A 24,242-nucleotide genomic window follows, 5' to 3' on the forward strand; every position below is an offset into this window, starting at 1 on the left:
TGATCATGCAACTGCACTCCAGCCTGGGTGACAGAGTGAGACCCTGTCTCAGGAAAAAAATAAATAAATAAAAATAAATAAAAGCAAGAGAATACTTTGTCCTCTTAGAACTATAAGACTGTTACCACAGGACCCTGTTATTCCCAGCCTTAGCGAAGCCTGAGAGCTTGCTGGTTAGCTCCTCACTGGTTTTGAACGCTGAGTGAGTTGCTCTGATCGAAGGAGGCAGGGTGCTCACACAAACCTTTCCTACAATTTGCGCTTCTCCCTCAACCAATACCTATAATGCCACCCCACTACATCTCCACCCTGTAGCATTTCCAGGCTTTGCCTAAAACCAAGAGTCAATAAACTCGTATTAGTGGAGTAGATGACAAAGGAGGTATTCCCTTTCCACAAACCCAAACAACCAGGATGCTCCCGAGGTGTGGCAGAAGGAAACACTTTGATCTCAGGCTTTTAGCCTCACACTTCCCTCACCCAGGTTTGACCCTCCTAGGGCCAGAACCAGAAGAGGCGCCCCCTCTCACACTTTCCTAAAGCCTGGAGTGGCAGTTTCTCTCCCAGTTGAACAAATGCAAATGCTACAAGCGCTCTTTCCAGGTTTTTCTACTACCCCTCCCCCACTGCCACTCTCCAACAGAGACAGGCGGGATCCTTAGGAGCCTGTTAGGGCTTTCGCTTGGCAGGATTTCAACGTCTGTGGGCTGAATACACTTGTAGTAATCTTTCACTAGAAATGAAGATTCCCTCGAAACCTTTCTGCCCGCAGCCTGGTTTATTTTATTTTATTATTTTTAAAAATTCAGCCTGGTTTATTTTAGACAATGAGATAATTTGATGCCTAAAGTGAAATAATAGATGAGAAAGGGCTTCAATGGTGTCGAAAATGCCCGAGGAATACGACTTGTTATAATAACACTAACGAGGTTAGCGGCCCTGCTTGTCTTGCCCAGAATCACTGGGGCTGGGCTGAGCGGGAGGCGATGGTGGATTTGTCTTGGGGCAAGGGAGGCAAACCTGCTCTTAGCATTAAGTGAGAATAGCGCCTGCCTTTCTCGATTGCTTTTAAAATTTCCTATTTGAGCCTGCTTGCATTCTAAATATTTTGTAGGTGCTCAGAATTTCTTATCACTTTGTCTGGGCACATCGCCTGCCTACAGCCTAGAATCTCAGAGCTAAAAGGAACCTTGGAGAGACTAGAGAGGTCAGGCGACTTGCTCAGGCTCATACAAACAGGTGAAGCCATAACTTGTACTACAACCCAGGTCTCCCACAGTGGCGATGTCTTTCTCTTACATAACCTGTGTTGTTGAGCAAGAATAAATCCTCGCTTATACACTCACACACACATGTTGGTGCCCTATCCTGATGGCGCTAAGGACACTAAATCCATGGCTGGGTTTCCTGATGTTGTCTGCCCTGCCTCTAAATTGCCTCAGTTGTTCCCAGAGACTGGTTCTTGCCAGAGTGTCTCAAACTGAAGGACAGCAGCTGCCTTGGGTCTTCCCATTGTGTTTTTTCCCTCCCTTGTCCTCTCCTTGCCTCCCCAGCAGGATTTCTAGAAAGCTTGACCGGTACACCAATACACGCCTGCAACGACATGGATTCATCCGCCCTCCTGCCACACATAGTTCTTGAGGCACTCAAGATGTCCTAGGGTGCTCTCTGGGGTTGCGCTTAGCTTACATTTGAAATTTAACGCTGTGATCCATGGAGGAGGCGAATCCCTCCCATCCAGAGGCTCAAGAAATTCTCACAAGTCTCTGATTTTTAAAAATTTTCCCCTCCCCATCTCCCTCTCCTACCACCAGCAGTTTAATTTGTCTTGACATTTTGCTTGCCCTCACTGTCAGTCAGGGGCACTCAGTAATTTTAAAGCCCTTGTAGTTTCAATCTGATTTTGCACATTTGAGATGGGCTTTTGAGAAGGGTAGAACTTGGAACTCAAGAAGACCCCATGGCAGAATCTCCAAAGGGGCTATGGAAATGTATGCATTTGAGGAGCGGGTACTTTCAGCTACCTCCAAACCATCTGGGGTCTGCCCACCTTCTAGGCCCCAGCGTCCCCATCAGAAAGCCTTTGCAGGCAGCTTTCAGAATAGGGCTTGCACCTGCCAGTCCTCCCCTCAGCTCCGCGGTACTCCAGGCAACCTCAAGGTCCAGTCACTGTAGCCTGAGTCAGACCTCCCCAGTACCCCTCCTGAACTTCCTAGTTGCCCCTTTTGCCAGAGATGAGGGTGCAGCAGAGGCTGGTGGGAGCAAGGACCGAGTTGCCGCCGTGTGCCGAGCCACCCACCTGTGGAAGAAGAGCAGGATGGAGAGCATGGTCTGGTCGATGTTGCGGTTGCAGATGCCCTCGTTGATCAGGTAGCAGGGGTCCCGCAGCACCGGCTCTAGCGAATCCTGCCGCATTATGCTGTTGAGCTTGTCGGTATTGAGGTTCTCAAAGACCAGCTTTTCCTGCAGCTGCCGAAAGTTGCTCACTGTAGGGCTGCCCGGGTTGTTGTTCTCCCCGCTGCTGCCTCGCTGGAGCCCACTCCGATGGGCCAGGTCCAGGCAGCAGTTGCAGCAGTCGAGGCCGACAGGTGAGCGGCAATCGAGCTTGGACTGGGCCATCTTCTCAGGCTCGGAGGTCGCCTGGCCTGCGAGGTCAGGGGCGGCTGGCAGGTGCGCGCCCACCGAGCTGGCCTGAGGGGACTCCAGGGTGCCTGGAAAAGACAAGCTGTGAGGAAAAGAGTTGGAAATTAGCGCCTAAAGCCAGCCACCTTCGGCTCGGCCCCCTTCTGGCTGTACTGCTCCGGGTGCGAATAGAAACAGCTGGACAAACAGCTCCGAGCGGATCCTTCGGGCTCACTTCCTCCTCTTCCTCCTTCTCCTCCCCCTCCTCTTGAGGCCGGGGGCCGCCCCCCTGAGGTGCCACACGCGGCCCCAGCGCAGTCCCAAGTTTCCCAAGTGTGAGCGGGGATTGGGGCGGACCTGTGGAGGCAGGAAGGGCGGGCAGCAGGGCAGAGGGAGAGCCAGGGCGCGCCCTTGCTCCCTCCCTCCTTTGCTCCCTCCCTCCCCGGTTTGCAGGCTCTCAGGCTCTCGGGCTCCCCTGGGCTGTGACGGCTGAGCGGTGGCAGGAGCTGAGAGCGAGTGAGCTAGTTAGCGGTCTGCACGCCCGGGAGTCAGCACTGGGATATGACAGCATGTAAATTACCCTAGAGGGGACGGCGGAGAACGGTCCTCCGCCACTTCTCCGGCTGGCGGGCGGGGGCCCCGAGCGGCTGGATCCTGTCCCTCCACCCCTCGCCCCACCCCGCCCGCACCCTTGTGCCCTGGCATCCACGCTGCCGCTCGCACCCTCGCCCGCGCTCCTGGGAGCCGGCCCGGCTCTCACTCTCTCGGCGAGCCGGACGCTTCGGTTCAGGCTCTTTCAGCGCTCATGGCGCATCCTCCGCCAGAAATACGCACGCAGCCCACCCGGGCTGCCGTGCCCCCTCAGTGGCCCGGTCTCGCGGGGCTCGAGCTCGGCGTGAGGGCAAATGTCTCTAGTCTCACCTCGAATGGGTCCCCCTACAGAAGAGACGACGCCCTCGAGAGCCCCAAGTGTTGTAGCCTTAAACTGCCGCCCTCCAAAGCCCCCCTTTTTCTGGGGGGGGGGCGTGCAAGGAGAGCGGTTGCCTCTGCAGAGAGTCAGAGAGTGCCAGGCACACATTAGGAGTACCCAATAAATGCCGTAAGCAAAACTCAGAGAAGCACGCTCAAACTCTCCTCAGTTTCTGTCTCTTTCTGCTTACTTAACGATATCGTCACCTCCTTTCCCCAGCTCGCTGTGTCCTCTCTTCCCTGAACCCCTCAGAGGCAGTCTCTGTCCCGGTTTCCCTCTGCCCCTTCGCCGTCTCTCCTCAGTCCTCCCCTTCCTTCTCTCTGCTCTTCTGCTTCCACTCATTCCACTATTTCCCTTATTTTTTCTCTTTTCTTTACCCATTTCCTCTACTTTCTCCCCCATTTCCATTCTTTTACCTTTCTTTCCTTATTTCTTTTCTCCTTTTCTCTATTTCCTCATTTCCCCTTTCTCCCCTTTCCTCTTTTCTCTCATTTTTCTCTCCCCTACCCCCGCCATTTCCCTTATTTTCCCCTCATTTCTTACTTCAGCACCCCCTCTTTTTCCTCACTTCACTTACCTTCTCCTATTTCTCCAAATTTGTTGTCCTTCTCCTTTTCTGAACCTTACCTGCCACCTTAGTTGATCTCCGTCTGTCGTTACCCTTTCAATAGATGTAGCGATTGCATGTTCACAGGCCTGAGGGGCGTGCCCCAGCTCTGTAAGATGGAGGGATGTTCTGGGTGGGCAAGTGGTGGGTTTCCAGGGTTTCTCAGGACTCAGAGACTTGGAATACTTTAAATGTGTAGGATTAAATAACGATTAGTGTCTGAAAAAACTAAACTTTTCATGACGTTCAGTTTTCACGTAAAACTGACTTACATTTCAGTCAGTACTCCCCACCCCCGCATCGGCTCCTTCATTCACAAGTCTGGCCTTTGAAATAGAGCAGCATATACTGCCATCTAGTGTCCAAGACGTTGAACGTTCTCTGCCTGCGTCACAGAAGCTCGGAGAGGCACCAGAGGTACCTCCTGGTGGAATCCACAGTGCGTTGGTTCCAAGAGTAGCAGGGAAGAAGTGTAGGAGGCGGAGCTGCTACACTAAGAGAGTTCTGTGGCCAAGCTAATAGGCAGGAACACGCTCCTACACTAAGAGAGCTCCAGCTAATAGGCAGGAACACCAATTAGGGCCAGAGCCGCCCTTTTTTCTAGTGGAGCTTCACTTGGCCTGAGTCCCTGCGGATTGGACTTCCATAGATTTGAAACTTCCTCCGGGTACCACAAGCATCAGGCCTGTGATTAAGAGCAAAGAGCGGCCAACTATTGTAACTCTTATTCCCAAGGCCCTGTGGGTCCTATATGTGCCCTGCAACTTGGGGAAAATGGAGGTGGGGTTGTGGTCTCTATGCTGTAGCAGCCGGAAAGCCAAAAACAAGCCGTACTTCTCGCTCTTGACAGGATCCCAAGGTCAGAGGTGAAAGAGGTGCTGGGGGTCACTGACCATACCTGCAAAACTGAGAGTATGGTCCTTTCGTTCTAACAGACTGCTGAGGAGTCTCTATTTCTCCTCTCAAAAGCAAACCCTTTAGATGTATTAATTTCCCTTTTTCTTCTTCTTCGCTTTTTTTTTTTTTAAATGTTCTTGGGTAAAAGCCAGAGGAGGTAGTAGAATATGAAATTTCATCTGCATTGTGTAGACTTATAGTCTACTAAATTGTTTTGTAATTACAGTGTTTATGTTTTTTCCTCTTGTTTATAATTATTTCATGTTAAACGTTATAGCAAAATATATTAGACCCATAAATGTTTATTTAAGTTGTGTTTTGTGAACTGCTGGGACTTTTGTTTCTATATTTGCCTGAGTCCTTTTATCTTTGTGCATAACCTTGGGATGAGGCCCTGGTAGAAGTATTTCCTTCTTGGCATTTGGCACCATTAAACTCAAGATTCTGTCCCCTTGACATTTCCCTTGTTGTAGTCCTTGCTCTCAAGCAGTATTGTTAATAATTCAGTACAGCTTTCCATACTATATCCAGGTTGATCAAGAGTAAATATAATTGAGATATAAAAAAACTACATAGTTCAGAGATAGAGTTCAGGAGCTGGTATGTATTTGCATACAAGTCCAGCTTGTATTGACATATTGCACACCTCCTCAGGAGAAGGCTGACTGGGCAGGGCCACCTTGGCTCCCTTCTGTGAAGCCTTGCTTTGCTGACATATATTGCGTTGGATGGAGAGACTCCAAGCAGCAAAACGTTTTGCATAAACTAAGAAAGCGGAGGGGGGCCCCCACTTCCAGACAGAGCTGGTAGCTTTCTGGGTGGAGCAGAAAGAGGGTATAAGGGGCATCTCTTTCTTGGATGAACTCATTCAACAGTCACTGTGTGCTTGTCCTGTGTCAGGTATAGTGTAAGTGGGGATTCAGAGGTAAACAAAACAGGACAAACTCCCAAAGACTTCATGGTCTAGCTGCAGAAACAGAGCTGCAGACAGACAAAAACAGTACAAATACTAAGTGGTAATGGAGGCCTGGTGTGTGTAGGGGGAATAGGGGGTGGCATGTCTTGGGTGTGGAGGAGGGGTTAGCTCTGGCAGAAGAGAAGGACAATCTAGGTAGAGAGACTAGAGAGACTAGTGAACAGAGGCTTGGGGCTGAGAACAGTGTGTATGCTGATATCCGGGTGTGGATTACAAAGCAGTTCAGTGTTACTGGAGAATAAAATGTGAGACATGGAAGCTGGTATAGTTATAGAAGTGCTTGTTATTAATGTAATAAATAACAATATATAGAAACAACTCTCATAACCATGGCAAGTTGAAAGTAATGATAATTGTAAACATATTTAAAGATACCTGTAGTAACAGTAATGTGACATAAAATTGTGATTTCTATTGGGGACAAAGTCACAGGTACCACTAACACTATCGTGATCTGTTCTCTGCATTTGTAGTTGAAGGAAATCTAAATTTTAGTTAGAGGTTGGTGAAAACAAAGATGTAATATTTTCCCATCTAAGTTAATTTATCCCCTGAATATTTATTTATTTACTTTTTTAGAACGAGTCTTGCTTTTGTTGCCCAGGCCAGACAATGGTGCGATTTTAACTCACTGCAACCTCCACCTCCCAGGTTCAAGCGATTCTCCTTCCTCAGCCTCCCAAGTAGCTGGGATTACGGGCATGTGCCACCACACAGGGCTAATTTTGTATTTTTAGTAGAGACAGGGTTTCGCCACATTGGCCAAGCTGGTTTGGAACCTCTGACCTCAGGTGATCCACCCGCTTCGGCCTCCTAAAGTGCTGGGATTACAGGCGTGAGCCACCGTGCCCAGCCTATCCCCTGAATTTTTTTTTTTTTTTTTTTTTTTTGAGACAGAGTCTCGCTCTGTCGCCCAGGCTGGAGTGCAGTGGTGCGATCTTGGCTCATGCAAGCTCCACCTCCCGGGTTCACGCCATTCTCCTGCCTCAGCCTCCCGAGTAGCTGGGACTACAGGTGCCTGCTACCACGCCCGGCTAATTTTTTTGTATTTTTAGTAGAGACGAGGTTTCACCATGTTAGCGAGGATGGTCTTGATCTCCTGACCTCGTGATCCGCCCGTCTCGGCCTCCCAAAGTGCTGGGATTACAGGCGTGAGCCACCGCGCCCAGCCTCCCCTGAATTTTTAGGGGTCCCTGTTCTAAGGCCAGGTGCTGTGGCCCATGCCTATAATCCCAGCACTTTGAGAGGCCGGGGTGGGCGGATCCCTTGAGGCCAGGATTTCAAGACCAGCCTGGGCCACACGGCAAAACACTATCTCTACAAAAAGTACAAAAATTCCCTGGGCATGCTAGCGTGCATCTGTAGTCCCAGCTACGCAGGGAGGATCACCTGAGCCCGGGTAGGTTGAGACTGCAGTGAGCCATTATTGCTCCACTGCACTCCAGCCTGGGAGAAGAGTTCTAGACCAACCTCCTTATATATATTAATAACAATATTAGATGAATGAGTCTTTACTATATGCCAAGCACTGTGCTAAAACCTTTATAGTCATTTTCTACTGATTCATCATCACAAGCCTGTGAGGCAGCCTTGTTTTCATAGCTCTCGGAGACATGGAATTGTTTTCTAAGGTTACACAGCTGGCAAGGGGCAGAAATGGGACTTGACCCTGAGTCAGTGTCACTTAAGCCCCACCCAAACTTCAGGCCTTGGATCTGCACCAGGATGGCTACATTAGAATCACCTGGGAAGTTCACTTTTTTTTTTTTTTTTTTTTGACAGAGTCTTGCTTGGTCACCAAGGCTGGAGTGCAGTGCCACAATCTCGGCTCACTGCAACCTCTGCCTCCCGGGTTCGAGCGATTCTTGTGCTTCAGCCTCCCGAGTAGCTGGGATTACAGACACATGCCACCATGCAGGGCTCATTTTTGTATTTTTAGTAGAGACGGGGTTGCTCCATGTTGCCCAGGCTGGTCTTGAACTCCTGAGCTTAAGATCCACCCGTCTTGGCCTCCCGAAGTTCTGGGATTACAGGAGCCACCAAGCCCGGCCTTATTATTATTATAATTATTGAGACAGGGTCTTGCTCTGTTGCCCAGAGCTGGAGTGCAGTGGTACAATCTCAGCTCACTACAGTCTCGACCTCCTGGGCTCCAGGGGTCCTCCTGCCTCAGCCTTCTGAGTAGCTGGGACTGCAAGGGTGTGCTACCACGCCCAGCTAAATTTTGTAGAGACGAGGTCTCGCCATTTTGCCCAGGCTGGTCTCAAACTCCTGGCTCAAGCAATCTGCCTGCCTTGGGCTTCCCATAGTGCTGGGATTACAGGCATGAGCCATGAAGGCCGGCTTTTTTTTTTTTTTTTTTGGACAGTATTTGGCTCTGCCGCCCAGGCTGGGGTGCAGTGGCACGATCTCGGCTCACTGCAGCCTTGGCCTGCCTGCCTGCCTGAAGGGGTCCTCCCAACTCAGCCTTCTGAGTAGCTGGGACTACAGGCGTGCAATCTCTCCTCACTGCTACCTCCGCCTCCCGGGTTCAAGCGATCCTCTCATCTCAGTGTCCCGAGTAGCTGGGACTACAGGTGAGTACCACCACGCCCGGCTAATTTTTTTTTTTTTTTTTTTTTGTGGAGATGGGGCTTTATCATGTTGCTCAGGCAGGTTTTGAACTCCTGAGCTCAAGCAATCCGCCTGCCTTGGCCTCCCAAGGTGCTGGGATTACAGGCGTGAGCCACCACACCCAGCCTGGGATCCATCTATCATTCTATCTATCTATCTATCTATCATCTATCTATCTATCTATCTATCTATCTCTCTCTCTCTCTCTATATATATATATATATAGATCTATAGATATCTATAGATCTATATATAGATATCTATATATAGATCTATAGATATCTATATATATAGATCTATAGATATCTATATTTATATATAGATATCTAGATATCTATATATAGAGAGATATATATATTTATATATATATATTTTTTTCTTTGAGACGGAGTCTCGCTCTGTCTAATTTTGGTATTTTTAGTAGAGACAGGGTTTCACCATGTTGGCCAGGCTAGTCTCAATCTCCTGACCTGAGGTGATCTGCCCACCTCGGCTTCCCAAAGTGCTGGGATTACAGGTGTGAGCCACTGCACTGGGCAGAGATCTATACTTTTAAAAGATCCCCAGATGATTCTTAAAGGTAGCCAGGTTTGGGAGCTTTAATGTTCTCAACCACAAACTTTTTGTTTTTATTTTACATTTTAATTGAAATTGTATATATTTAAGGTGTACATCACGGCTATATATATATATATAAATATATATATATAAATATATATATATAAATATATATATAAATATATATATATAAATATATATATATAAATATATATATAAATATATATATATAAATATATATAAATATATATATATAAATATATATATAAATATATATATATAAATATATATATAAATATATATATATAAATATATATATATATAAATATATATATATATATACCCACACATATATACACACATAGACTACAGTCAAGCTAACATATCCATCTCTTCACATAGTTATCTTTGTGTGTGTGTGCGTCTGTGTGCAGTGAGATCTACGCTATTAGCAAATTTCAAGTGAACAATACAGTATTGTTAACTATAGTCACCATGCTGTACATTACATCTCTAGAACTTATTCATCCCATGTAACTGAAGCTTTGAACCCTTTGACCAACATCTCCCAATGTGTTCCCCACCCAACCCCTGGTAACCACCATCTACTCTCTGCTTTGATGAATTCAGTTTTTTTAGATTCCACATATAAGTGAGATCATGTAGTGTTTTTTTTTCTGTGTTTGGCTTATTTCACTTAGCAAAATATCCTCCAGGATCATTCATGTTATCACAAATGGCAGGATTTCCTACTAAGGCTAAATAATATTTTATTTTATATATACATATACATATATACACATAATATACACACATATATACACATAATATACATATATACACATATATATACACTCATATACACATACATATACACATATGCACACACATACATGTGTGTATATATATATATACACACCCCACAATTTCTATATTTAGAAATTGAATTTTTTTAGAAAAAATTAGGAATTCATTTAGAAATTGAAATGAATGGATAAAAACTCATTTTTATCTATCAATGGACACTTAGGCAGTTTCCACAAGCTTTCTTAGCACAGTTCTTGGGCATGGTAGATACCTAATAAATATCTGATTAACCAAGGGGAAATAAAATATGGAGATGGGGAACTGAGGGAAATTGAAAAGCTGTCCTCGAGGGCCAGGCACAGTGGCTCACGCCTGTAATTCTAGCACTTTGGGAGGCCGAGGCAGTGGGATCACTTGAGGTCAGGAATTTGAGACAAGCCTGGCCAACAGGGTGAAATCCTGTCTCTACTACAAATATAAAAATTAGCCTGGCATGGTGGCACTTGCCTTTTTTTTTTTTTTTTTTTTTATTTTTTATTTTAGAGGGAGTCTCACTCTGTCGCCCAGGCTGGAATGCAGTGGCGCGATCTCCGCTCACTGCAGCTTCTGCCTCCCGGATTCAAGCGATTCTCTTGCCTCAGCCTCCCGAGTAGCTGAAATTACAGGCACCTGCCACCATGCCCAGCTAGTTTTTGTATTTTTAGTAGAGACAGGGTTTCACCATGTTGGCCAGGCTGGTCTTGAACTCCTGACTTCAAGTGATCCATCTGCCTCGGCCTCCCAAAGTGCTGGGATTACAGACGTGAGCCACTGCACCCGGCCAAGAATTGTATATATTTAAGGTGTACACCATGATGTTTTGACATACATTGTGAAACGATTACCACAATCAAGCTAATTAACATATACATCAACCTGTCTTTGTAGAACTGTTTCATGGAGGCCATATATTATTACATCCTAATATCTACAGTGTTTTCTTCTGGAGCTCACAGTCTGGTGTGCGTATGTGTGTGTGTGTGTGTGTGTGTGTGTGTGTGTCCAGGGTGGGAGCACAGGCAAGTAAAGAGACAATCACAGTATATATGATAAGGATTGTCATGGAATGAAGCACAGAATGGTGATGGAAGGAACAAAGAGTGGGCATACCAAACACAGATTGGAAGGGTAAAGGAAGGCTTCCTAGAGGAGATGATGGCTTGAAGGATGAATTGAGAAGGACAAAGTACTTATCCAAGCCCATTTTTAGTGCCTAGTAGGCATTCATCTAATGAGATGGTGGATGTATAACACTTGGTACCTACCACATAGTCACAACTCAATATGTGGTAGATGTCATTATTGTTACCTGACCTTTTCAAACAAACTTGAATGGCAAGTTATGTTTACTATGAGGAGTATGTAAGATAATGCATGACATGTTAAGTACTTAATATAGTGTCTGGCATATAATAATTGCCCAGCAACTGGTGGCAGTTGATAGTGTTATTGTTGCTGCTATCATTATTTTTAGGTTTGGCTGGACTGAGATAGATGGAATCTTCCATCTCTGATCTTTTGGGTCATTCAACTCTGCAATTTGTTACATGTTACATTATTTCATATTACATGAAATTACATATTACATATTTATATATGTAATATGAAATTACATGTTACACATTACATTTTTTCAGATATAATGTCTGCAAGCATGCTTATGTTCAGAACTTTTCCCGATAACAATCTCTGGCCCCAACCATAACAATCTCTGGCCCCAACCACCGCTACCACCATCACCAGCCACATGGTGTTCTCAAGTTGTGGTCTCCACAAAGCATATAGGAAATAGAGGAGCTGGGCAGATGCGGTGGCTCACGCCTGTAATTCCAACACTTTGGGAAGCTGAGGCGGGTGGATCACTTAAGCTCAGGAGTTCAAGACCAGCCTGGGCAACATGGCAAAACCCCATCTCCACAAAAAAAAAAAAAAAAAAAAAAATAGCCAGGTGTGGTGGCATGCACCTGTGGTTTCAGCTACTCAGGAGGCTGAGGTGGGAAGATTGCTTGAGCCTGGGAGGTTGAGGCTGTAGTGAGCTGTGATTGTGCCACTGCACTCCAGCCTGGGCCACAGAATGAGACCTTGTCTCAAAAACAAACAAAAGAAAGAAGGAAGGAAAGAAAGAAGGAAGGAAGGAAGGAAGGAAGGAAAGAAAGAAAGAAGGAAAGAAAGAAAGGAAGGAAGGAAGGAGAAAGAAAGAAAGAGAAAAAAATAAAATAGAGGAATTGATGGTAGAAGAAGTGGAACAGAGCTGTTGTTGCCTCTGAAAATATTTTCTTTATAGTAAAGGGATGACATTGGTTTTCTGATGAGCCTCTGTATTTCCAATCTAAGGACAGTTGGTAGAAGTGAATCAAAATCTTTCCCCAACTTTGTTGGGCACTTTTGCTGTTCTGGATAGGAGGGTAGAGTGTATGTAGATTATAAATATGTTCCTCAGTCCAACCCCATCTCCCTACAACAGCTAGCAGAAATTCCTTCTCCATTAGCAATTAACAGTCCCTTTTCCCCTATTTTCCGTAGCTAGTGCAAGTTTTAGTTTTTTGTTGCAAAGCTTCATGGATATTTTAATGGGCATTCCTAGATGGTGGGTATCAGACTGTGTTATCTTGCTGCCATGTTAACCCAGAGTTCCCCCAGATACAATTGGTTTTCTTGCTAACAACTTCAGGGAGAAGGCACAAAAGTCCTTTGCTTTTTCATGGTCCTTTCTTACTGTCTTTCCAGCCCTCTCCATCCTGGGGGCCCTGTTTTCACCAGTCATCTTATTTTACCCAATACAGGAGTCCTCATCCTTTTTGTAAGGAAAAACTGTGTTGTATATTCCTGATGCCTTGATCTCCCTGGGAAGACGGAAATTAAAGGTAGAGGGAAGTTTACTGAATCTGGGGGCTGGCTACCAGGGTGTGGGAGTGAAGAGGATTGGGGAGATGCTGCTTACTGTCTTCCTCTCTGAGCTGAGAATCCAGGTAAACTGCAGAGAGCAGGGCAGGAGAAGGGCGATCATGTTGGAGAGTTAGCTTGCAAGGCCTTGATATTGTTTGTAGATCCCAAGCTACCGATTAGGGGCCCCTGACCTAATATAGTAAAAAAAAAAATGGTTTGTGTTGTCATTGTGGCTATTTTTTAATATCCTTCCAGAGGTATATCTCCCTTCCTGTATTAGCTTTCTAAATCTTGATACTGTGCACGCAGATTGATCCATTTGCCCTACTTTCCACTCCTTGTAGCATTGTCAATTGTCTTTCAGCCACCTCTGGAATTCTGGACTTGGTTTACCTAGCCTTTGTGACCACTCCATATATTGACATACAGGGAGCCTCCAAGCTGCAGACAGGCTGAGCTCTCAAAGTTCACTCTCAAGTCAATTGTTTGGAAGGTGACATGCATTTTTCCATAGGAGAAAAAAATTGTTATAAATTGAACTACATTTCCAGACCAGCCCACAAAAGATGTTTTTAGCTTTAATGTACTAAAAATGTGGGCCATTTGCAATGACAAAGTAGGAAATCTTGGTAATTCAGCAAAAACAAGAAGACAATCCAAGGGAATAAGAAATACTTTTGCTTGACTGCTGGTACTGGAGTCAAGAAAGCTGAACTGGATGAGGTACACAGGGCTTTCCGGAGGCTCTCCAGAAAGACTCATGGGGACTTTGAAAGTCTGGAATCATAACATAGTTCTAAGTTTACTTCAGAACTGATGGCTTTCAATAATAATGACTACCACATACTGAGCACTTACTGTGTGTCAGGCGCTGTGTTAGGCAGTTTACATACCTTCCCCTCATTTCATTTCATTCTCACAACAACACTATGAGGTAAATACTATAATGACCCTTATTTTACAGACTGAGGCTCAGAAGGGTCAAGGAACTTGACAAAAGTTATACAGACAGCACAATTAGAGGCCAAGTCAATGGTTTCCTACTGCCCAAACCTGTGCTTTACAATATATATCTGACCACTCTTTTCTTTTCTTTTCTTTATCTGGATATATTGGGAACACTACTTTTGGGGCTATCAGCCATGATTAGAGTTATGTGCCAGATCACAAGGAAACTAAGATTGGGAAACTAGGAGAGGTGGTACAAGGGAGAGAAGGAAGGAGGAAGGGACAGAGAATTTTGTTAGGCAAAAGTTCAACTAAGAAACCACATACGTCAGTGCTTCTCAAACTGTACTGTGCACTCAAATCACCTGAAACTCGTTAAAATGAAGATTATTATTCAGCAGATCTAGGGAGGGGCCTGAGATCCTGCATTTCTAAAAAGCTCCCAGGTGTGCTGCTCCTGCTGGCCCACGGACAACACTTTGAACAGTAAGGCCATATAGTGCAAATGATAAACAAAAAAATTCAAGCATCCATTAACACCTGCTTCCTAATTTAATCCAGATCAGCTTCTACACTAAACAGTCACTTATTATCCTCTTTTCTCCTGTAGCCTGTCTCAGGCCATTGTCTCCGCTTTAGTTCTGCCAGTCTGTTTCAGCTTATGTTTGTTTATTTATTTATTTGTACAAATTTAAGGGGTTCGAGTGCAGTTTTGGTACATGGATATATTGCAGAGTGGTGAAGTCTGGGCTTTTAATGTAACCGTCACCCAAACAGTGTAGATTGTACCCATTAAGTAATTTCTCATCTCTCACCTCCATGACATGTTTATGTTTAACTACTCATTTAAATACAGGTGTTAAATACATATGAACATCTTCTGTCACTCTGAGCACTAGGCAGTCTCAATCAGACATGAATTTCTCTTGGCACAAAGTAGATATTTGGCCACAGGGTTCCAGTCCTCAACAATGGCTCTCAGCTCTCTCACCCATTAGGAACAGTCTTATAAAGGTAAGGCATGTAGTAACACTACTGTCCCAGCGCTTTCTAATTTCCTTTCTTAGAGCTACTGCCTTCATCTGGAGCAGAAAGTAGCCTGGCTTTTTAAAGAGTCCAGATCCTTGTTCCTTTCACATAGTTGAAACAATCCCAGCATTAGTTTAAGGCAACCATTGAAAAGATTCTTTGCAGAGTCCTGCCAACTCCAAAAGCCCAGTGAAGTTTGTTTCCTGGAAGATAATTTACTTTATTTTGCCACCTCCTCTCCTCCGTCCTCTTAGGATTTTGACTGATCATTTTGAGCCATTCTTCATGTTTTTCTTCTATTTTTAGACTCTCTGACTAATTTTCTCCAGTAGCAAGAGTCAAGGAAAGCTTTCCACTCCAACCAAGCTCTACTTTTTAGGTAGGAAATATTCTCTCACAGTGTTTACAGATCAACTTGGTGATCTGTGGTCCCTGGCAACTGGATTGCTTTTCTATCTTCTCTTTAACCTTTGGGGATGTTAACCTTGGGGGTGACCCTTCTAACACCTTTAGCAGGTAGGTGTTCATTGCAGCCTCCACATGAATAGATTAGGTAAGTTCACATTCTATCACTGGATGAATTAAAAACTCTGCTAAAAAAGAATTGTAATCTTCTGTTTTTAACTTCTATCCATTAATCTTACTTTTATCATATGGAGCAGAAATAGCACTTTCAATATTTCAAGACATTTGTCATATCCTCCTTTAACCATCTCTTTGCTAGACTAAACATCCCCAATTTCTAATCAGTCCTCAGTTACTTCTTGACCCTTCATTCATTCAATAAACATCAGATGCACTATGATTTGTAAATGTTCACTTTAAAATACAGTACCTCGAAATGGAACGTAGTGCTCGCTGTGTAGTTTGACCAGCATGGAGCACATTGGGACTGCCACTCCTTGTGATGGTCTGATGCAATTTCATGATCATACCAGCTTAAAAAAGAGTAACTCACTTCTTCACATCTAGTGAGTACCTACTTTGGGTCAGGTACCTAACATCAACTAGAAACCTCTGTTTTCAGTGGTAGAGGTTCTCTGTTCTTTCTTACCCCATGGGGCCTGGAGATGGTACAGCCACCCTCTTCCAATCCTTCCTACTATCATCTGCTGTACTTTAGTTCTCTCACCTATTGAGGACTTCACCTCCTCACTGATAGTCTTCCTTTCCACCCCAACTCTAGCCACCATCCTGAGTGATCTTAATGTCCTCATAGATGACCCATTTATAAGCTTCATCCTTTCAATCATTTTACCTCCACTCTGCTTCACCAACTATTTTCAATGATCCACTTTATTCTCAGCAGATGATCTCACCTCTTATTCCATTATGAAAATCTAGGTCGTTGGATGCTAACACTCATTTTCCTGTCCTAACCCCACCCTGCCACATAGTTGTGTCCCTACATGTCCTAACCTCTTTTTTTTTTTTTTTTTTTTTTTGGGCTTGCAGAAATACACATAGCTTCTCCAGTTCAAGGCTAATTTCTCTACGTATGCTTTGGAGCCCATTCTTTCTCACCTCCATGAGGACTTACTTCATCAGTTATCCCTCCTCTCATCTGTGTCTTCAACAACTCCTTCTCTACTTACTGGCTGCTTCCCATCAACCTTCAGGCATGATCAACTTTCACTCTAAAAAAAGAAACAAACAAATTTTCCTTCGCCTCTATCCCCAACTGGCATTTGCCCTATTTCTCTTCTTTTATTGTTATGGAATCTTTTCTAAAGTGTAGACACTCTCCATTTCCTCACCTCCTGTTAAAAACTCAGCTCCCACTATGGCTTTTCTGTTCCCAGAACACCACTGTTATTTCTCTTTTAAGTAAACCAATGACATCCTAATTGCCAAATCTAATGAACAATGTTAAGTCTTTATTTTACTGGACCTCTCTCTGATGTATTTAACATAATTGATTGCTCTCACCCTACTTCTGTCCTCATGACTCTCATGACCTACTCCTTGGCTTTGGTGATGTTGCACATCTTCTGACTGTCCTCATTCCTCTCTGATTACTCCTTCTTATGCTGTTTTGTGGACTTTTCGTCTGCCACCCCTTAAATGCCAGTCTTTCCCAGGTTTTTTCATTCCTCACCTTTCCCCTAGATCATCTCATCCATACCCATGGTTTTATCTACCATCCTATTGAGCCCCAAATCTGTGTCTGTGGTCCCAGACACAGACCTCTCTTGAGAGCTCCAAACCCATATACTAGTTAATACTTGACACGTGTAATATGGCACATCCTACAGGTACCTCAAGACCAAACTCAGTATGTTCCAAATTCATCTTTTTTATTCCAATCTGCCCTTCCTCCTCTGTCTGCCCAACTGACACCATTTTGGTGACTCAGACCTCTATCTACACAGTTGACCTCTATCTACACAGTGCTGAAACTCGGTAGTCATCCTGAATTTCTCATTCAACCAGTCACCAAGACCTGTTCAGTCTGTCTTCTAAGTATCTATCTGAGATGTGTTTCCTTTATGTTACTACAGCATATTATTAGTCCAGGCTTTCCATAATCTTTTTGTTTTTTAACCATTCAAATAGCTCCGTAACTGGTCTTCCTGCCTCTTGGCCTGCTCCCCCTTAGTCTATCCTTCACACTGTGATAGAATGCATTTTCTCTAATGCAAATCAGATCACATCACTCCTCTGCTTGAAGCCCTATCATGGTTCCCACTGCTTACTGGTACAGTCCAAGCTGCTCCACAAGGCTTACAAGGCCCCTCACAATCTGGCCTTGCCTACCCTTCCAATCTTATCTCCTATCATCTTTTCCTTATTTTCTTTGCCCAAATAACGTCAGACTGAACACCCCCCATCACGCCTTCATGCCTTCATACACACTGTTCTCTCTGCCTAGAATGACCCCTTGGTCTTCCAGTCAAATCTTTATTCAGCTTTCAAAATTGGACTCAGACTATGTCTGGGTAGATACACAAGAAACTAGTGACAATGATTGGGTGGCTGGGGCACAGGAGTGGGAAGAAGACTTCCTTTTTCCACCTATTTGTACATTCTGCATTTTGTAACACAAATCTGAATTCACTATTCAAAAAAGTAAATACTACGTAAATTTTTTGTTAAAAAAGCTCAGGAATCAGGTCCTTTAGAAAGTTGTTTTCCCCTCCTCATCCTCCTCTGTAGTTTTGTACTCCCTTCTTTGTGCTACCTCTGGGCCTACTGTGTGCTCCTGTGATTAGAATAATTACATTGCATTGCAATTTGTATGTTAAGTTGTCCATCTCCCCAGATTGTGAGCTACCTGAGGGAAAGGGCTGCATCTTACTTTTTATTGTTTCCCCAGAATTTAACATAGTGCTCTATAAATGTTGATTGAATGAATGGAGAAACAAGTGAAGAGAAGAATAAAGTAGAGGATGCCCCACATTATAAAACAAAGCTCCCATGCCAGTTATCTTTCCCAATATCCATCAATCTGTCCTTTTGCCACGTGTTGAGCTTGAAAGTAATACTTTACATTTATACTTTTTTTTTTTTCTGAGACAGGGTCTCACTCTGTCACCCAGGCTGGAGTGCAATGGCACAATTATGGCTCACTTCAGCCTCGATCTCCTGGGCTCTAGATCCTCCTACCTCAGCCTTCCAAGTAGCTGGGACTATAGTCACATGCCACCACGCCATGCTAATATTTGTAATCTGTTGTAAAGATGAGGTTTCACCATGTTGCCCAGGCTGGTCTTGAACTCCTGGGATTAAGCAATCCACCTGCCTCGGCCTCCCAAAGTGCTGGGATTGCAGGCGTGAGCCACTGCACCCGGCCTTACATTTATTCTTAAGTACTATCCATCAATTATCTTGTCAATTTGGGCTCAGCATCATGTAAGACTGCCCAGATCATTTCAAAGTCCCTCTTATTTTTGTGTTATGTGTAGATTTGATATGTATTTGTATATCCTATTTTGAATCACTTGATCAGAATATTGATACAATACCTATTGCTTATTGAACACCTACAGTGTGTCAAACACTGTGCTGGGTGTTTTTACATATGACATTGTCACAGTATTTGTTGCAAGATAGGTATTTTGCTCTCCAGTTTACAGATGAGAAGATTGAAATCAGTATTGTTAAGTGCCCTGCCTAGGGTCATATTGCTAGTAAATGGTGAAGTTGAGATTTGAACCAAGGTCTTTTGACTTCAAAATTCATGCTTGAGTCATAACACTACATTGATTCAAAGGGGCATCTCCACTGCTTCACTACTGGGTGCCTAGCTCAAGGCAGCCCATTGTCTTTGGACTGCTCTGACCATTTTAAAAGCTCTTGTTTGTAGTGAGCCAAGTTATAAATGAGCCAAACAAGACATGGCCAATAACAGAGCCTTTGGCTCTCTGCTAGAACCTTCCTTCCAGTCTGACACCAAACCATGTGTTCGCTTCTTTGGCTATAGTTGTTCAACTAGTTATAGGCTCATCTCAACAAATGCCTGAAGCATCCAGCTTATATTTTGCCATCTCATCTACAAGGAAATTATGGCAAACTTTGTCCAATGCCTGGATGAAATGAAATCCACTATAGCTATCACATTCTCTGGTAGCTTATCTAGTAACCAGATCAAAAAAAAAAAAAAAGGAAATGAAGTCTAGGAGGGATATTTGTTTTTTAACGGGGCAATTTGTCAATGACTTAAAGTAATGAGTTTCCAGTGGTATACTTTCAGACATCCTTGACAGGCTGTCAGGAAGATGATTTTTGGCCAGTGGGCTTCCTACTTCTCTTCAAATGACATCTAAATAGGGACTCCCATTTTCATTGCTTTGAATTGCACAGCACTGTTGTTTACATCTGGTTTTATTTAATCTTCCATTTCAGTTTTCTGGGCTTTTATTTTTTCTTTGTGTTCTGCCCTTGCACATGTTCCCTCTGCCTGGTTCATTCCCTAAACTCCTACACCCCCCAGCCCTGCAACACACACATATACATACCTTCCTTGTCCTTTGAGAATCAGTGCATGCAGTCCCTTCTCCAGAAGCCTTCTCTGTTGTCCCCAGGCTGAGGTAACTGCTTCTCCTCTTGGGTGTTGTAGTGGCAAGTGAGCACAGTGCCTGTCACAAAGTAGATCCCCAATAAATGTTAACTCCCTTCTCCCCTTCCTCCATGAATATCTCTAAAATAGTATTGATTACACCATATTGTATTTTCATGTTTACTTGTTTGCCTTCATCACTCAATTATGAGCTCATTCATTCATCCAGTCATTAACAAATATTTATTGTGTGTCTAAGGTGTACAAGGCATTGTTCATGTAGGTACTGGGGACACAGTGATTTCTGAAAATTGTATTTTCACTGTGTCTTTTCATTGTTGTACTTATAGCACCTGTCATAGTGTCTGGCAAGTAGAGTGCTTATTAAATGTTTGTTAAGGGAATGCACTTCCTTAGCAGAGTTTCTCAAAGTGTAATCTTTGGACCATTTGCATCTGGATCATTGAGGGGTGTAGGTTAAAATGTTAATTCTTGGGTCCCTCTCCAAACCTACTGAATCAGAATATCTTAAGAGTGGGCTGCAAGAATCTGTATTTTAATCTCGTTTTGCGGTGTTTCTATCATGCTAAAATTTGGGAACCTCTGCGAAACAGAATAGAAATAGGGAGACCCAGTGCCTCCCTATATATGCCTCCCTATAATAACATTGAAAAGTGTAGCTAAAACCGACTAAATCGTGTTTAATGCCTCCGAATGCTGCAGTAAATTTTAGTAAAAGAGAAAAAGGAATTAATTAAAATTGTCTAGAAAGGTTAATTACTATTTACCTTTTGAACAAGTGGAATTATTGCCAATAAAATCTAATCTTAATTTAGGTCAAATTTATGATACCAGAGAGTTTTCATTTCTAAAGTGCTACTTGTATATTTGATGGTATATAGGGACCCATTGTGTAACCCAACAATACAATATATTGATTCCATGTTATAGACTTGAATTGCAAATTAAGAAAGAGTATGTCCAAACTGTACTTGTGCTTTAACATTGATTATATATGTGATTTATCTGATGCTTAGTCCTTAATCAGAATTGTTAGTGCTCATTCTCTGTGCAAATTTGATCCATTTAACTGTTTTATGCCATATTTTCCAAGAACATGCTGTTATTAAAAGTGCTCTTTGGTAATAGATCAGGCATATAAGATCTAAGTCTCAACCAAAGACAGCACAACTTCCCTTTCAGGAAGACTTGACAAATTGGATTTTATGACCATGTTTTGGGGATTGGAGCTGTCTATTTTTAGTGTGCCTTGACATGATCCTTATGGTCAGGAGCTGAAGTGTTCTTGTATCTGAACACAAATATGTTAAATATTCACAGGTTTATACTTCTGTTTCCCTCCTTTTGACTTCCCTCTTTTTTTCAACTCAACTTAGGTTTTCAGTGGTGGTGTCACTGCTGCCAAGCTGGACCGAAAACGGCCATCGGCATGCTGCCCAACCAGCACCATGTCCAAAGACCTGAAAATTCTATGTAAAGACCCTGCTTTGGAGCTGAGCTGCTACCGGGACCATCAGTTCAGTGGCCGTAAATTTCAGCAGGAAAAATTACTGAAGGAAAGCTCCACATTGAATATGGGGAATCTTTCCTTTTATACAACCGAAGAGAAAATACATGAACTCTTTAGTAGATCTGATATCAGGAATATCTTTATGGGCCTGGATAAAATAAAGAAAACAGCATGTGGTTTTTGCTTTGTAGAATGCCATAACAGAGCTGATGCTGAAAATGCCATGCGGTTTCTAACTGGGACCTGCCTAGATGAATGGATTATCTGCACTGATTGGGATGTCGGTTTTAGAGAGGGTCAACAGTATGGTCGCGGTAAATCTGGGGGTCAGGTAAGGGATGAGTTTCGTGAAGATTTTCATTCTGGTAGAGGAGGCTTTGGAAGACAGACTCAGATCTAGAACAATCCATAGAGAAAAAGTTTTAACTCTAACCCCTTGAAAAGTGTGTTATAGACCAACCTCAAGTCTGCAAATAGCCAATTCCAAGTTTAAATTACCTTACTTGTTGATGTATTTTTTTCTCTGAAAATTTGTTAAATAGCAGAAACAAAAAAAATCCATTTGTTTTTGTCTGAATTTTGAAGATGCTTTTCAGATTACCAGTTTGACTGTTAGGTGGTCCAAAGTGAAGTGTTCTTCGGGAACAAATTAGGTATGTAAGATCAGAGTCAACCAAAGCACAACTTCCCTTTTAAGAAGATTTCTGTTGGATTCTATGGCCATGTTCCTGCAGCCCAAAATTATAATTTTTTTTAGAGCTTGCATAAAATACAGTCAAATAAGTGGAAATTTTAAAAAGTTATCAAGAGAAACACAAGCACTATTATTTGAAACCATAGAAAAGTCTGGAAGAATTTGTAATAAAAACAAAAATCCTCCTGCCCCACCTCTTCCTATCCTACGCCTATTCCCTGGACGATAACGCTTAATTATTTTTATTAGTTTTTGGTTTGTTTGTTTCTTGGTAGTTTCCTCCATATCTCCAAATAACATGACTACTTACTTTCTTTTTAAACGCTACGTACTGACTTCCTACTTTCAGAGATGAGGATTTAGCTCACTTACACCCCCATTTGCACTTCTCTACTCTCCATCCTCTCAATATAGTTCACAACACTTTACAGAGGGTTCCTGAGTTACAATGGCTTGGCTTACAATGTTTGGACTTTACAATGGTATAAAAGTGATGTGCATTCAGTAGAAACCATGCTTCAGGTACCCATACAACTATTTCGTTTTTGACTTTCAGTATAGTATTCAACAAATTGCATGAGATACTTAACACTTTATTATAAAATAGGCTTTGGGTTAGATGATTTTGCCCAAGTGTAGGCTAATGTAAAATGTTTAAGATAGGTTGTGCTATGCTATATTTGAGAGGTTAGATGTATTAAATGCATTTTCAACTTAATATATACAATAAGCTTATTAGGATGTAACCCCATCATAAGTCAATGAGCATCTGTACTTACTTTCTTTACTGTTACATAGCATAACTTAGGTTATACTGCAGTAATAAAAAATCGAAAAATTTTAGTGCTTAAAATTACTAAGTTCTGTTCCTCCCACTACATTCCCATTGCTGATTACATGGTGCCGGGGTCTGCTCCATGCCATGATTGTCCTCCTTCTGGGGCCTAGGCTAATAGTATACCCACTATCTGGAATGATGATGACAGAGGGAAAAACAGAGTGACAAATCATGTCCTGGCTCCTCAAGCTTCCACCCAGAAATGATATCCGTCACTTTTGCTCACATTTCCATTCTCAAAACATGTTGTCAAAACTGATTCTGAGGGAGTGGAGAAGGATCTGTAGGAAGAGATCCTGAATATTAGTGATGAGTTATACAGTTTACTACAGGTTCTCCTATAACTTTAATATATACAAATATAACCCCATTTTTGTTTTGCTCCACCATATAGTACTTCCCACTTTGTAAGATGAAGATGTTAATGTCCTTTTGCCTTTTCTTCATCTTTCTTCCTCCCCCTTCTACTTTCTAGCTTTTTTCATCTATATTTCTGTTTTTACATTGTCAAACTTGATAAAGTTGTCCGTGCTCTGTCTTTCAGTTAATTCCAAAAGTTTACAATTAGTAAAGAGTATTTTATTACTGTGACTATATAAATATTGTTCCCTGGTCAGGCGCAGTGGCTTATGCTTGTAATCCCAGAATTTTGGGAGACTGAGGTAGGCAGATCACTTGAGGTCAGGAGTTCAAGACTGGCCAGGGCAACATGGTGAAACCCTGTCTTTGCCAAAAATACAAAAATTGCTGGGCATGGTGGCATGTGCCCGTGGTCCCAGCTACTCAGGAGGCTGAGATGGTAGGATAGTGATCCCTCCTGAGCCCAGGAGGCGGAGGTCGCAGTGAACTGAGATTGTTCCACTGCACTCCAGCCTGGGTGGCAGAGTGAGACCCTATTTCAAAAATAAGTAAATAAATAAATAAATAAAGTTCCTTGCAAAGCCAGGGAGAGTCCAACATCTATATCTTTTCTGCTGGAATTTTTATTTACCATTCTCTCTTTCTTATATTTGCCTTTATTGCACCCCTTAATTTCCTTCAAACTCTGTAAAAAATTAAGCTTTCCATGGATATTCTCCTACTTTTTTCTTTTTTGAAGTCTCACTCTGTCGCCCAGGCTGGAGTTCAGTGGCACAATCTTGGCTCACTGCAAACTCTGTCTCCTGGGTTCAAGCGATTCTCCTGCCTCAGCCTCCCGAGTAGCTGGGACTACAGGTGTGTGCCACCA

General features: G+C 43.2%; 2 protein-coding genes across 4 annotated transcripts in view, besides 6 other annotated features; one reads left to right on the forward strand and one right to left on the reverse strand.

Annotated features, from left to right (window-relative positions):
* Positions 1-3,188, reverse strand: part of TSC22D3 (TSC22 domain family member 3) — a 62,768-nt gene extending 59,580 nt beyond the window's left edge. Inside the window, exons 1-2 of one of the 3 annotated variants that reach the window (NM_001318470.1) lie at positions 2,980-3,188; positions 2,300-2,711 (exon numbers count right to left, since the gene is read on the reverse strand). In NM_001318470.1, the coding sequence (NP_001305399.1) occupies positions 2,300-2,619 (320 nt within the window). In that variant the 5' untranslated portion in view covers positions 2,620-2,711; positions 2,980-3,188. Of the gene's footprint in view, positions 1-2,299 lie in introns of all 3 variants that reach the window. The other 2 variants (NM_001318468.1, NM_198057.3) reach the window with 2 other exon arrangements.
* Positions 1,756-2,333: an enhancer, noted in NCBI's record as "H3K4me1 hESC enhancer chrX:107017786-107018363 (GRCh37/hg19 assembly coordinates)". NCBI's record gives its function as "activates a minimal SCP1, AML or CMV promoter by ChIP-STARR-seq in naive H9 embryonic stem cells {active_cell/tissue: H9 hESC(naive)}" and the evidence as "EXISTENCE:reporter gene assay evidence [ECO:0000049][PMID:30033119]".
* Positions 2,334-2,910: an enhancer, noted in NCBI's record as "H3K4me1 hESC enhancer chrX:107018364-107018940 (GRCh37/hg19 assembly coordinates)". NCBI's record gives its function as "activates a minimal SCP1, AML or CMV promoter by ChIP-STARR-seq in naive H9 embryonic stem cells {active_cell/tissue: H9 hESC(naive)}" and the evidence as "EXISTENCE:reporter gene assay evidence [ECO:0000049][PMID:30033119]".
* Positions 2,999-3,293: a silencer, noted in NCBI's record as "tiled region #6089; HepG2 Repressive non-DNase unmatched - State 4:PromP, and K562 Repressive DNase unmatched - State 4:PromP". NCBI's record gives its function as "represses a minimal TATA promoter and a strong SV40 promoter by Sharpr-MPRA in HepG2 and K562 cells {active_cell/tissue: HepG2 | K562}" and the evidence as "EXISTENCE:reporter gene assay evidence [ECO:0000049][PMID:27701403]".
* Positions 2,999-3,326: a biological region, named in NCBI's record as "Sharpr-MPRA regulatory region 6089".
* Positions 3,187-3,236: an enhancer, noted in NCBI's record as "active region_29836". NCBI's record gives its function as "activates an Ori minimal core promoter by ATAC-STARR-seq in GM12878 lymphoblastoid cells {active_cell/tissue: GM12878}" and the evidence as "EXISTENCE:reporter gene assay evidence [ECO:0000049][PMID:35858748]".
* Positions 3,267-3,326: a silencer, noted in NCBI's record as "silent region_20932". NCBI's record gives its function as "represses an Ori minimal core promoter by ATAC-STARR-seq in GM12878 lymphoblastoid cells {active_cell/tissue: GM12878}" and the evidence as "EXISTENCE:reporter gene assay evidence [ECO:0000049][PMID:35858748]".
* NCBP2L (nuclear cap binding protein subunit 2 like) lies at positions 4,933-23,029 on the forward strand. Its single transcript, NM_001348372.2, has 2 exons — positions 4,933-5,058; positions 21,349-23,029. Exon 2 carries the CDS (start codon positions 21,421-21,423, stop codon positions 21,880-21,882), a length of 462 nt encoding a protein of 153 aa, NP_001335301.1. The 5' UTR covers positions 4,933-5,058; positions 21,349-21,420; the 3' UTR covers positions 21,883-23,029.
* The last annotated feature ends 1,213 nt before the right edge of the window (positions 23,030-24,242 follow it).

This window comes from Homo sapiens, chromosome X, assembly GCF_000001405.40.
Source record: "Homo sapiens chromosome X, GRCh38.p14 Primary Assembly".
Lineage (NCBI taxonomy): Eukaryota > Metazoa > Chordata > Mammalia > Primates > Hominidae > Homo > Homo sapiens.

What these genes read in the sequence shown, in the direction of transcription:
- NCBP2L (NM_001348372.2), top strand. Translation starts at nt 21,421, where the DNA reads ATGTCCAAAGACCTGAAAATTCTATGTAAAGACCCTGCTTTGGAGCTG.